The following is a 13,099-nucleotide window of genomic DNA, read 5'->3' on the forward strand; positions in this document are numbered from 1 at the left end:
TCACATGACGACACAGTGAGCAGACAGCCTTCTGCAAGCCAGGAAGAGCACCCTCACTAACAACCTAATTCGCCATCATCTTGATCTTGGATCTCCCAGCCTCCAGAGCCAGGAGAAAATAAATGACTATTGTTTAAGCCACCAGTCTATGGTATTTTAGCAATCATTCATACACACACACAGCATCTGCTTTGTGCCAGCCACTATACAAGTCACTTTAGACGCAGTATCAGTTGATCTCCATTTTACAGATGAGAAAACCGAAGCTTAGATTAAGCAACTTGCCCAAGGTCACACATCTGGTGAGATTCCTAGCCAGTGGTAAATTGCATAACATTCAGCCAACAAACAGAGCAGCTGCCATAAGCAGAGTTCTCAAATAATCATTTGTGTGGAAATCAAAAAGGAGGGCAACACAGTCTCTGCCCTCAGGAAACTCCGGAAGGGAGGAGAGGACAGGTAGGCCATGAGTTACAGGGGGCCACAAACGTCATAAACAGGCGTTTGTCAAAGGCCGCCGGAGAACCGGGAAGCAATGATTGGGCAAATCTGGGAAGACTTCCACAGAGGAGGTGGCAAGCCGGAACAAGGCACACAAATGCCAGGTGCTCGTAGAGGGCTGGATACAATGGGGGCTTCACTACCAGGCCTGTCAGGTGGGGCACCCCCAGAAAATCAGGCTGAGGTGACGGACTGGGACGTCTCGCAGCATGAGGCTGAGTTTAGGCAAAGCTGTCGGGGTCCCAGGACCCATGATTTCCCCCCACCCCCGTCTGCCCCATTCCCAACTTCTCTATGGGGCAGGAACTCGACGAGGGGCACCATGCTGCAGAGAAAGGGCGCCATGCCTTTGGGGCTGGGGCTCGGCAGAAGGTCCTCTGAGCGTGGATTCCAACAGGAGCTCTGCCGCCACCCAGCAGGGTGACCTTGAATACGTCTGCCCGCATGGCTGGGCTTCAAAGACCTTGCCTGGGTGATGTGTGAGCACATGTGATTCCCGCTCACACCAGGCTCTAGGCTACCGTGCAGGCGGGAGCGCGTGGGGTGGTGCAGATCCCTTGCCTCGCCCCGGTGGGGGAGGCTGTTTCTGATTTGGGGGAGCAGGCAGCGTGGGGCCTCCCGTTCAGAGCTCTCTCACCACTGGGCCTGACCTCAGGGCGCCTGGCTGGGGCCAGGAAGGCGTTCGCGTCAGACAACCCCAGCGGGGAAGCCCCCCTCTCCCGCGGGCCAAACCGCAGCTTCTTGCAGCCACTCGCCCCGGCCGGTTTCGGGAGGAGGGCGGCGCTCCGAAGGCGGCCGCGCGCAACGGGGCCTCGGTCTGTGGACCAGCGTCCCCTGAGAAGCAGAAGGGGTGTGAAGGGCAGGAAAGGGGCCGTGCCGGGCTGTCCCTCCCGCCGCCTGCTCCGCGGGTGGCGCCCGGGGCCGGGTGGCAGCGGGGTGTGGGCGGGGAGACGCGGCGGGCGCGGGGGCGGCCGGGCAGGCGGCGCGCGCTCGGAAGTGCCCCCGGGCGGCCTCCGCGGCAGGCGGCTCCTGTTTCCCGGCTCCCGCCCGGGCGGGCGCGGGGCAGCTGCTGGGAGGTGAGCGGAGCAGCGTTTTCCCACAGTCTGGGGCGGTGACACATGGCGCTCACACATTCCACAGCCGGCGGCCGCGCCAGGCCTGGCTGCGAGTCAAGGCAGCGCCGGGAGCTGCCGACGAGCAGGTTCCGACTTTGGCACCCGCCGCGCCGCCTTCCCGCCTTCCCCACGCCCGGCGGGGGCGGAGGGGGACGCAGAGGGGCCCGCGCCGGCGGCTTAACCCTTGGACGTCTAGACACAACTTTGATCAGCAGTTTATTGAATCTCAGTGTGTGTCTCACCCAGGTGCTGAATAAATGTCGAATGCATGAATGAATTACTGAATGAATGAACGAATGAACGAACAAATGAATGGACGCGCGCACACATGCTGTAGGGAGCCCTTCTTGGCTCGCTCACGTAACGCACCTATGCAACAACTGGCCAATACGCTTTCCAAAGCTCCTGACTCCCACTCCGTACATTCTTTGGTGGTGTTTCTTTGAGACAGAGTCTCTCTGTCGCCCAGGCTGGAGTGCAGTGGCGTGATCACTGCAACCTCTGCCTCCCAGGTTCAAGCGATTCTCGTGCCAGGCTCCCACCACCACGCCCGGCTAATTTTTGTATTTTTAGTAGAGACGGGGTTTCGCCATGTTGGCCAAGCTGGGCTAGAACTCCTGACCCTGTCAGGTGATTCGCCTACCTCAGCCTCCCAAAGTGCTGGGATTACAGGCATGAGTCACCGCGCCCAGCCACTCTGTACATTCTTGAAAGGCCCCTGAAGTAAGGGGGGGATGTTGGCACCCCCAGTTTACAAGGAGGAAAGCGACTAGGAGAAGTAGCTTGCTAGGGGTGGCTTTGCACTTCTAGATTCAGATAGGAACCGCCAAAGAGATGGGGAATGGGGAAGCGGGGACATCCCCGTCATCTCCCCTCCCACCATTGGACATGGTAGGCCGGGCGGGAGTCAAGGCAGTGCTTATGCCTCGACTCCAGCCCAGAGCCTGGTGTGAGTGAGCATCACCTGTGGTCAGAGATCAGCCATTTGCCTCTGAGTCGGTGATGAGGGCGTTTGCCAATCTCTGGCGGGACTCCTTCCCACAACTCTCTGTTTACTGATGAGCAGTGGAAACCTTGATCAAAGACTATTCTGGCAACCATTTGACAGAAACAAAAACAATTTGAAAACTGCTTTAAAAAAAAATAGAACTTCCGATTCTGGGGTGGAGATCTGTTCCTATGAGATGGCACCATTCCTGTATTCTGCTTCCCTTGGGCCTCTGTGTGACTCCTCTGGACCTCCAGCTCCCTTACTGCATCTAACTGCCCAGGGTAGAGACTACACTGAAACAGGGACCCTTCACTCCAAATCCCACAAACCGAGGAACCGGCAAATCATCCCACAAAGAAGCTGCCCAGACCCCAGGGCGCAGGAAGGGCTCTGGAAACACTGTGATGTTTCCAGAACTGCCTTACATACATTGCCTTTCATTCTCACAACACCCTAATGAGAGGGGTGGTATTATTGCCCTGGCTTATAGCTAAAAGTACTGACATTTAAAGAGGTGAAATCACTTGCCTAAGGTCACAGAGCTATAAATGTACTTGACCCCATGTTTGCCTAACCACCAACCAGTGCTTTGTCAACCAGGTCTCAAAGTTTAGATGTAATTCAGATTACATTCCGCATACACACCCTCTCCTCTCACCTCCTCATAGCACATGCACACATGCAGACCTGCCCGACCTTTACCTTCTCCAAGTATTAAGAGAATCTCACTTGATCCTCAATGGCTCTGACTTTGGTAGAACCTGGTAGAACTTTTCAAACTCACTTTTGGTCTGTGAAGTAAACTACCTCCACCCTCTGACTCCATAATCAATATGTTCTCCAATCATTACAACATAATCAAAAGACAAAGATGTCAGCCCTGGAGATTCATGACCAGCTGGCCACATTCAAGGTAACTCAGTTGATTAGCATTCACTGTGAACCTACTATTGCCAGGCACCTAACGTGCGTGCTGATGGAGATGAGAGAGGGGACTAGGAAAACAGAAGGACCCAGAGGAGGTAAAAAGGAGAAAACAATCCAGAAGACCCATACGCCCCACTTGGGGCTCCCAATCACTCAGATTGGAAAGATTCATAAAGACACAATTAGATCGTAGGCTGCTAAGAGATGTATAAACTAAGTGGCAGTATACAGGTGAGAATGCACCTGGAGGAAGGGTTGTCTAAACAGGTGACATTTATGTTGAGTCTTTATCTTAATTCATGTTGTGCTCTTATAACAGAACACCCCAGACTTGGCATCTATCTATTTATCTATTTTATTTATTTATTTATACATAAAATCTTTCAGAAAAAATATTTACTTATTTTTAATGACAGATTCTAATTGTGCTGCCCAGGCTGGAGTGCAGTGGCCATTCACAAGCACAGTCATAGCTCACCACAGCCTCAAACTCCTGAGCCTGGAACCACAGGCATGCAACACCATGCCCTGCTTTAGATAATTTTTTTTTTTTGAGATGGAGTCACTCTGTTGCCCAGGCTGGAGTGGAGTGCAATGGTGCGATCTTGGCTCACTGCAATATCCACTTCCTGGGTTCAAGCGATTCTCCTGCCTCAGCCTCCCAAGTAGCTGGGATTACAGGCACACACCACCACACCTAGCTAATATTTGTATTTTTAGTAGAGAGGGGGTTTCACCATGTTGGCCAGGCTGGTCTGGAACTCCTGACCTCAGGTGATGCACCCACCTTGGCCTCCCAAAGTGCTGGGATTACAGGAGTGAGCCACTACACCCAGCCTGCTTTGGATAATTTAATAAGTAGGAATTTATTGGCTCATAGTTCTAGAGGCTGGGAAGTCCAAGATCCAGGAGCTGACATCTGCTGAGGGCCCTCTTGCTGCATCATCCCATGGCAGAAGGGCAAAGAGAGGAGGAGAGAGAGAGAGAGAGAGAGGATAAAAGGGGGCTGAACTTCACCGTTTACAACAAACCTACTCCAGTGATAATAGCATTAATCCATTCACTCCACCTTCATGGCCTAATTACCTCTCATTAGGCCCCACTTCCCAACACTGTTGGCTTTGGGATTTAGTTTCCAACACGTGCTTTCTGGGGAACACATTGAAACTATGGCACCCTTGGAGAATGACTAGTTCTCCAGATGAAGGTAATGGGGAAGGCCACTGCAGGTAGAGGAGACACAATATGATAACTTAGAAAGGACACAGAAAATATAAACCATAAATTAAAAATTGAGAATTTTATGTTATCAAAATGTAAAATGTCTGCTTGCAAAACATACACCATCAAGAAAACAAACAGATAAACCACAAACCAGGAGAAAATATTCACAAAACATATATCTGACAAAGGACATACATATAGAACATATAAAGAACTTCTGTCACTCAACAATAGAAGACAATCTAGTTTTTTTAAGGACCAAAGACTGAAAAGACACTTTACAAAAGAAGATACACAAATAACCACAATAAGCACGTGTGAAAGCACTCAACATCATCAGTCACCAGAGAATGCAAATTAAAATTATGAGCTACCCCTACATACCTGCTAGAATGGCTAGAATTAAAAACTGACAACGCCAGGTGTTGGAGAGAACTGGAACTCTCGTACCTCACTAATAAGAATGTTAAATGGTACAGCCACTTTAGAAAACTGAGAGTTTCTTTAAAAGGTGAATATATACTGACCCAGTGGGATACTGGTAAATTTTTAACAATGACCTCTCCACAGGGAAGTTGAGGCTGCCATGAGCTGTGATTGTGCCACTGTACTCTAGCCCAGGTGACAGAGGGAAACCCTGACTAAAAAATAAAATACAATCAAAAACTAATGGGCTCTCCAGAAGAAAAACAAATGCTACAAAGCCTGATTTGTAGCATTTTCTGATTTCCCTGGTATAAATCTTCTACCATGGCCGATTTCAAGCTACCCACATGACGACACTGAAGGCAGCATTGGGAAGAGATGACCACGAGTGGCTCTTGCTCACTTGTCCCGGTCCACTCCAGCACACCACTATATCTACTCCACGACCTAGCAACCTACTGAGTCATAGGCATTTACCTAAGATAAATGGAAGCACAAGTCCACAAAACGTCTCCTGCAAGAATGCTTGTAGCAACTTTACTTGTAGCTCCAAACTGGAAACAACCTAGGTGACCATCACAAGAGAACAGATATATTTGCACTATATTTGCACAATGGGATACTACTTAGCAACAGGAATGAATGATCTACTGAGACATGCAGCAACTCAGATGAATCTCAAAAATACCAAGCTGTGTGAAGGAAGGCAAACATGAGAAGTGCATCCTGTTTGCCTTTATATGAAATCTGGAATAGCTGAAACTAACCAATAGTGATAGAAACCAGATCACGGTTGCTGGGTGATGGTGGGCATTGACTGGGAAGGAAGGACTTTCTGGGGTGATAGAAATGTTCTGGACCCTAATATGCCTTGATCAAAATGGAATCTTTACAATCGGAGCATTTCACTGTATATAAATTATGCGTGTAAAAGAAAAAGGCATCACACCTAAAAAGCCTGGATTTCCCTTTACTTCGATATTCAAGACAGCTTAGAAGCAGAGGATCGCAGATCAGCTTGGGGGCTGCAAAACAACTGCCTCAGCACATGGGTTCAGGGAGTAAGCTGTGTTCCTCTTGCTTTCTTTTAGCAAAATCAACAAAGCATTATTTGCTTTGTTGGCCACTGTGGTTACCAGGTCTCCAGCCACAGGACAGAGTATGGGCTGAGCCGGCAGAGGGCACTGAGGTCAGCCTGGCCTGGTCCTGCCCACAGCCCACTCGTCATTCCTCCATCCCCTCCTTCATTGTTGAGGAAGCCATTTTTGAGAAACTTGCAAAGTTACTCCATCCCCAGTTATCTTCAGTTTCTCCTGTTTTCCTCCACTCCTTCTCCCCTCATCCACAACCTTCCATCCCTCTTCTACCTAAATACTCTTAGAGAGCCATGTGCTAAAGATTTAATAGCCCAGGGCAGTCAGGAACCCCTGATTCCAAGAGTTCTGCTAGTCACTCAAGCACAAAAATTGGTTAGTAACTTGTCAAAGGTTACCCCGTGCGTTGACTTTCACTTACTCACTCTCTGAGCCTCACTTTTTTTAAATTTGCAAAATAAGGGAAATAATTCTCAGCAGTCAATTTTAGGGATAAAATGAGAATCTGTGAAAATATCAGCCAGTTTGAGGGATTTCAAGTTTATGGCTAGTTTTCTCTTTTTATATTTTATTGTAATTAATCGTTACTATAAGCATTTTCAGGCCATTCTAAAGAGGGGGTGCAGTTCTCCCAAGTCCTGCACGGAATGAGGAGCAAAGCCAGGATCCCAGCCTGGGTCTCTGCTCTTCGGTCAGCTCGGTGCTTTCCCAGGTGGAAGGCCAGCTGGCCCAGGGCACTGCAGCGGACTCCACCTACTCACGTTTCCATCTCTGCAATTCTAGAAAAATAGCACAGAGGGCCAGGTGCAGGAAGGTCGAAAGGCTGTTATCTCACACAAAAACAGTAAAATTCCTTTCACACCCTTCTACCTCCCACCCTTTAATTAGTCTCTTATGAACATAAAGTCTCCTTGACTTTTCAAAGTTTTATAAAGAATTACTTGTGGAACTCTTGGAGACCAAGTGTGAGGCACTTATAAAACTTCACATAATACACAGAGTTTCCTTTAGCTTTTCCGTATTTTATTCACACACACTTTCCCGTAACAACATGTGCCAGTCATTCTCCAGCTGCTCCCCACCCCTCCCACCCCGTAACTTCATTCTCCTTCACACTTTCTGCTGGAAAAATTGCTGCTTCCAAGGCCCTCCAAAATATTTCGAGCTACTCTCCTTAATTGCCTTGCTCCTCAGAGTTCATGTGCCTTCAGTCTTCTTATTTGAGGCAGGGTCTCACACTGCTGCCCAGGCTGGAGTGCAGTGGTGCCATCATAGCTCACTGTAGCCCGGACCTCCTGGGCTCACATGATTCTCCCACCTCAGAGCTCATGGGTAGCTAGGACTACAGGAGCATGCCACCACACCTGGCTAATTTTTTATTTTTATTTTTTTGTAGAGACAGGGTTGTATTATTTTGCCCAGGCTGGTCTCAAACTCCTGCCTCAGCCTTCCAAAGTGCCAGAATTACAGGCATGAGCCACCACACCCGATCTGAACTTCTTGTTTGACTCTCTGGTGTTCCCCAGGCAACAGTACTGGGGAACTGGAAACAGTACTTTCTTGTCTCTGTGCATTGCTCCTGTTGTCTCCCCTATATCCCCTTAACCTTCACACAGTATCCCCCCTTCAGAACTCAGCTCAAAGGCCGGCCAGCTCCTCCATGAAGCCTTCACCATGTCTCCTCTGAGCCCTATGCCACTTTTCTAAGCCTCTTTGTTGTGGCACCATCCCTGTCTCCCTCCCTTGTACATAAACAGTCTGGGAAGTTGTTGAGTTGATGGGTAGATGGATGGAGGGAGGGATGGGTGAATGGTTGGAGGAATGGAGGGATGGAGGGATGGATGAATGGGTGGAGGGATGGAGGGATGAATGGATGGATAGACTCAGCCACATATGTATGAAATGTATATGAATTGTTGAGTGAATAGATAGATAACAGGCAGGCAACATTTTCTAGAGCTATTATATAAGACATACTCATACTTGGAGTTTCAGCATCGTGTTAATATATTTACTTGTTCAATGTTTATTCAACGGTTTTTGTTTCTTTTCTATCCATCCCCAATCTATGTCTGATGCAGGAGACAGGCACTTGGGAATATTTAATTCAGGCTGGATCCTAAATCATGTGCAGTCTATGTTTATGGATAACGAAGAGCTAAATACATTTTAATATTGTTCCCAAGGTGAAGCCTGATGAGTTTTTACTAGCATTCAAAAGTGGGCGTCAATATATTTCTTCTTTCTGTGTTTTGGTTCCCAGCTGAGTGGAAGGTCAACCAGTCCAACTTCTCATGTTTCAGAAGAGGAAAGCAAGGTCTGGAGAGGGAACGTGGCTTGCCCAAGGTCAGAGGTAGAGGGAGATTAAAACTCTGGGTTTTGACTCTCAATTCCTTGTTCGGTCCTTGACACCTTAAAACTTAAAGTCAAAGAGCTGCCTTATCCATTACAGATATGTTTCAAACTTTGATGAAAAGCAGGGAAGTTTGGGAAGAAAATCCAAGACTTCTCTGGAGAGAGGTAAGATTTCTGCATTATAGATTCTTTCTTTGTTTTACATCATTACATATGAGACCTTCGCTTTCCAAGGTCTCATTTGTACAATGAAGAGAAAACTGCTATGCCCCTGACTCCGTCCAAGGGCCTCTGGAACATTCTAGAATTGTATTTCCACAGTTAGCGCTGCTCTGATTTGGGAAAAGAAGAATTGAAGATTTTTGTAGTGTTGGCTCTGACTTCCCTTCTTAGCAAAACTTCTAATGTCCTAGTGGACGTGGCAACAGCTTGAAAAACTCCTCTAGGACCAGACAGATAATTAACCCTTTCTCTGCTCTGCTGATATAACTACTTTCCACAGTTTTTATGGAAGAACAAAATGCCCACGAAACCTCTGTGCACGACTAATTTATCTGACACCCTGGCTCTGACTTCTCTATCCCAAAATTCAACTCAACAACACTTTCCAGAAATTTCTAAAATTTCTTTGATCCAAGGTTTCCAGAAATACCTACAGTTCTGTTTGTCTATTATAATTTTTTGATGACCATGGTTCAAAACCTTAGCTTACTCCTTTAAAAAATACCATTATCGGCCCAGGCACAGTGGCTCACACCTGTAATCCCAGCACTTTGGGAGGCCAAGGCGGGTGGATCACCTGAAGTCAGGAGTTTGAGACCAGGCTGGCCAACATGGTGAAACCCCGTCTCTACCAAAAATACAAAAATTAGCCAGACATGCTGGTGGGCACCTGAAATCCCAGCTACTCGGGAGGCTGAGGCAGGAGAATCACTTGAACCTGGGAGGCGGAGGTTGTAGTGAGCCGAGATCGTGCCATTGCACTCCAGCCTGGGCAACAAGAGTAAAACTCCGTCTCAAAAAAAGAAAAAGAAAAAGCAAAAAAAAACCTAGTATCTGTCTCAAAACTCTGAATAACAAAGGGCACAACTTATCTATCATCATAAATGCAGCCAGTGACTACTCAGGGGCACTAAAACAATTTTTAGATTGTTACTCTCCCCTCAGAAATTCACAGATTGTAGGAAGAAAGCAGAAAAGTAGCCAGAGAATGGGGGCACGTGGGAGGGCGTCTCTGCAAGAACTGGGCCTCTTCCCCCAGTACCCAAGCAGCAATTAAGACTGGTCAGCCAACCCAAAATGTGTCCGGCTTTTATGAATTTCCAATCAATAGCCAAAACGCCAGAAGTTTCTTTTCAAATTAAAAAGAGAGAGAGAGAGAGCGTGAGGGAGGAAGAAAGGAAGAAATCCAAACAGTGGACAAAAACAAGGCGACCGTGGCTCCCACTCCAGCCTGCGAAGCGGCGACAATGGTGAGAAATCAATGCCCAGAACCACAAGGCAGCTTTCAGACACCTCTTGACCCTGTCACTTCCTGGGTAATTAAGAGGCACTACAGTTCCGTGTCACTGTCAGGGGCTGAATGTATATCGATAGATAGATATATATGTTCTTAAAAGATTCTTTTTCTACAGCGGTGGTCAGGATCCTGCCAAAGAAAAGCGGGAGAAGAAAGGCATTTTGTCCAGAGTGCAGTGAAAGGAAACATGAAAGGAGAAACCTAAATTTTTCAGTACAGTCTGCCCCTGACATGGGAAAATGGCGCAGACAAGAATAGACGGCTTGTTCGCCGTTGAGTTTTTTTCTTCCTTCCCTTGACAGATTATCTCTGTGAATGTGGTGTAGGCAGCAGGGCACCCCGCCCTCTCTGTTCTTCTTCGGATACCTTAAGGACATGAATGCAAAGCCTGGGGTCTACATGACAGGCTGAGTCAATGCTTGGCTGCATGGGGCTTTAAAGGGGGCCGCCTTCCTTCCAAGGGCCTCAGTTTCCCTAAATGAGGGAAATTGGACTAAACCCGCTCTGGAGACTTTTCCAGGGCTGGCATTCACTGAGACCATCAGAAACAGTTTTTTCTTCTGACCCTACCCAGAAAACAGAGGAACATAGAGTTCCAGGTGAGCAGAAGTGGCCTCCCCACCCATGCCTATGAAATACCAGCAACCAAGGCCACTCAGAGAAGGTCGGACCAACCCACTGGAGAGAGGGAACCTCTAAAGGCACTTTGCCAGCTCTGACCCTGATGGTTCTTTGGCGAGTCTGCATCCTTTCCCTGTGGCACTTGTCTGTGGGGCTCAACTCAGAGAGTTGAGCGCAGTCTGCTTTGCAAATGAATGCAAGCCACATGTCCGCCATGGACTGGGAACTCCCTGGCCCACAGCCCTCACTGATTATCCCGACATCCCTCCCAGGGCCAGCAGCAAGCCTGGGCCCCACACAAGAGGTGCTCGGTGAATGTTTATTAAGCCAACATCTGACTTTAATGATACAGCAGGGAGAAGGAAGCTTGTTCTCACGGGGTGCCTCAGTGAATCACTTTCGCATAAACCTGAGAGTTTTATTTCAGCAAACCAGTCCCTTTCCTGAGTCCTTGGTAACAAATTTTACTCCTGGAGGGCAAGAACACAGTTCTATCATCTCTCTATGCTTACTACTAGGACAGTGACAGGGTGTACACACCAATAAAGTTTGAGGGAAGGAATGGATGATGTCACACACTGAGGTCTTCCTCCTGGGTCTGCCACCTGGCCCTCAGCATGGGGGCTGGTGTATATAGTGACTGTCAGTGTGGCACTCCAATACCCTGAGATGAGTGACATTCTCCACATGGTACAGCAGGGGTGTTATATGCACGTGGCACATGTGCAGAACACCCTGTACGTTGCATTGGCTGTCACAGCAAAGAGGCCCCTGTCACTCACTCTTGGAATATCAGAAGGATAAAGATACTAGTAAATGGGAAAGGGGAATTCCACTTATCTAGAGGAAAAGTACAATATAAATTTACTATCACAATATATGTTTATAACTAAGGCAAAGCTTATCTTGGTGTTCTCTCTCGCTCATTGGATAGGTGCTGTGTTTTATAGCATCGGGCTGGACCCAGGAAGCTGGCTCCCAAAAACCTGGGCTTCCTTTGCAACCTCTACATGAGGAAGAGGCACCAGTTAGTGTGACCCATCCTGGGTAAGGATAGGCTTTCCCTAGGTACAAAAAGATCATTATTACCTTGGCCTCTTGGCCACTTTTTCTTCTGGCTAGCTTAAAACCCGTTCATTTGTTCTCACAGTGGCTTGAGGGACAAAAGGGCAAGTATTACCAGCCCTAGGGTTGCTAGGTGGCTACAGGGCACTTGGAATATGGCTATGGTTACTGCCGCTGAAGAATTGAATTCATTTTATTACACTCTAATTAATTTAAACAAATTTAAACGGCTGCATGTGTCTGGTTGCCACCGTGTTAAACAGCATAGCTCTAAATTCTTCACCTAAAAAAATGTGTAAAACCTAAAGTATTTGGTGACTTGATAAAGCCTTGAAAAATCTAAATAAGATAATAGATAAACCAACTAAAAGGAGGAAGAGGCCTCTTAACTGTCACTTGGAGACCACCCAGGACTGTATTTTCAAAGTCTATTAGCACCTGCCCAGAGTTGGTGGCAGAGCCTACCCCGACGTAGCCGCTCATGCCCCCACAGGGATGCGTCTCCCCCTCCAGTGCACGCTGGCATGCAAGCCCCTGAGTAGCCCCCACCCTAGCACTGATGACAAGGCTTGTGCACAGCAGCTTTGCTAGACTGTGAGCTCCCAGGGGACAGAGACTGGCTTTACCTATCACTGAATACCTCCCTCCCTGCAATTCCCAGCTGAATGCCAGTCACAGAGCAGGTGCTCAAAAGAGGGTTGTTTTGAACCAAATCCCCAACATTTAATTCAGAGGTTGTTATGATCATAAGATGGGGTCTCCTATGGACTGAATGTTTATGTCCCCCTCATATGTTGAAGCCTAATCCCCAGTGTGATGGCATTTGCAGGCGGGGCCTTTGGGAGGTAGCTAGGTTTAAATGAGTTCGTGAGGCTAGAGCTCCCGTGATAGGATGAGTGTTCCTATAAGACGAGGAAGAGACCATATCTCTCTGCTATGTGAGGATACAGTGAGAAGGCAGCTTTCTGCAAACCAGAAAGAGACCCCTCCTCAAACACCAAATTAGCACCTTGATCTGGGACTTTCTTGCCTCCAGAACCTTCAGAAATAAATGTTTGCTGTTTAAGCTAGGATATTTTGTTACAACAGCCTGAGCTAACTAAACTAGGATCTTTGAAAGCAGCAGCTTTTGACATCAGCTTTTTCACATGCACTCATTAAAGATTTTTTAAAAAACCAAAAAAGATATTTTACCAAGTACTTCCCATGGGAACTATGGGACCAAGAAAGAGTCCGTCTCTGCTCTAAGGAGGAACCAACA

The 13,099-nt window shown here is 47.8% G+C and overlaps 1 protein-coding gene and 1 long non-coding RNA gene across 15 annotated transcripts in view, besides 1 other annotated feature; one reads left to right on the forward strand and one right to left on the reverse strand.

Moving 5' to 3' along the window:
- The window catches only part of LINC02028 (long intergenic non-protein coding RNA 2028), a 65,515-nt gene extending 64,215 nt beyond the window's left edge, over positions 1 to 1,300 (reverse strand). For both annotated transcript variants that reach the window (NR_136179.1, NR_136180.1), the window contains exon 1: positions 1,152 to 1,300. This is a non-coding gene — a long non-coding RNA (long intergenic non-protein coding RNA 2028). The remainder of the gene's footprint in view (positions 1 to 1,151) is intronic.
- LOC102724877 (uncharacterized) overlaps positions 329 to 13,099 on the forward strand; it is a 53,476-nt gene continuing 40,705 nt past the window's right edge. For 3 of the 13 annotated variants that reach the window (XR_002959666.2, XR_002959664.2, XR_002959663.2), the window contains exons 1-3: positions 419 to 605; positions 8,542 to 8,624; positions 8,731 to 8,798. Coding sequence is in view for 4 of the 13 variants with exons in the window: in XM_011513355.4 (XP_011511657.1) it covers positions 536 to 656; positions 8,542 to 8,631; positions 8,731 to 8,798; positions 11,708 to 11,820 (392 nt within the window). In the remaining 9 variants the exon portion in view is untranslated. Of the gene's footprint in view, positions 657 to 8,541; positions 8,632 to 8,730; positions 8,799 to 11,707; positions 11,821 to 13,099 lie in introns of all 13 variants that reach the window. The other 10 variants (XR_001741077.3, XM_011513355.4, XR_001741080.3 and 7 more) reach the window with 7 other exon arrangements.
- Positions 1,318 to 1,497: a silencer, noted in NCBI's record as "silent region_15012". NCBI's record gives its function as "represses an Ori minimal core promoter by ATAC-STARR-seq in GM12878 lymphoblastoid cells {active_cell/tissue: GM12878}" and the evidence as "EXISTENCE:reporter gene assay evidence [ECO:0000049][PMID:35858748]".

Source organism: Homo sapiens, chromosome 3 (genome assembly GCF_000001405.40).
Source record: "Homo sapiens chromosome 3, GRCh38.p14 Primary Assembly".
In the NCBI taxonomy this organism is placed as follows: Eukaryota; Metazoa; Chordata; class Mammalia; order Primates; family Hominidae; genus Homo; species Homo sapiens.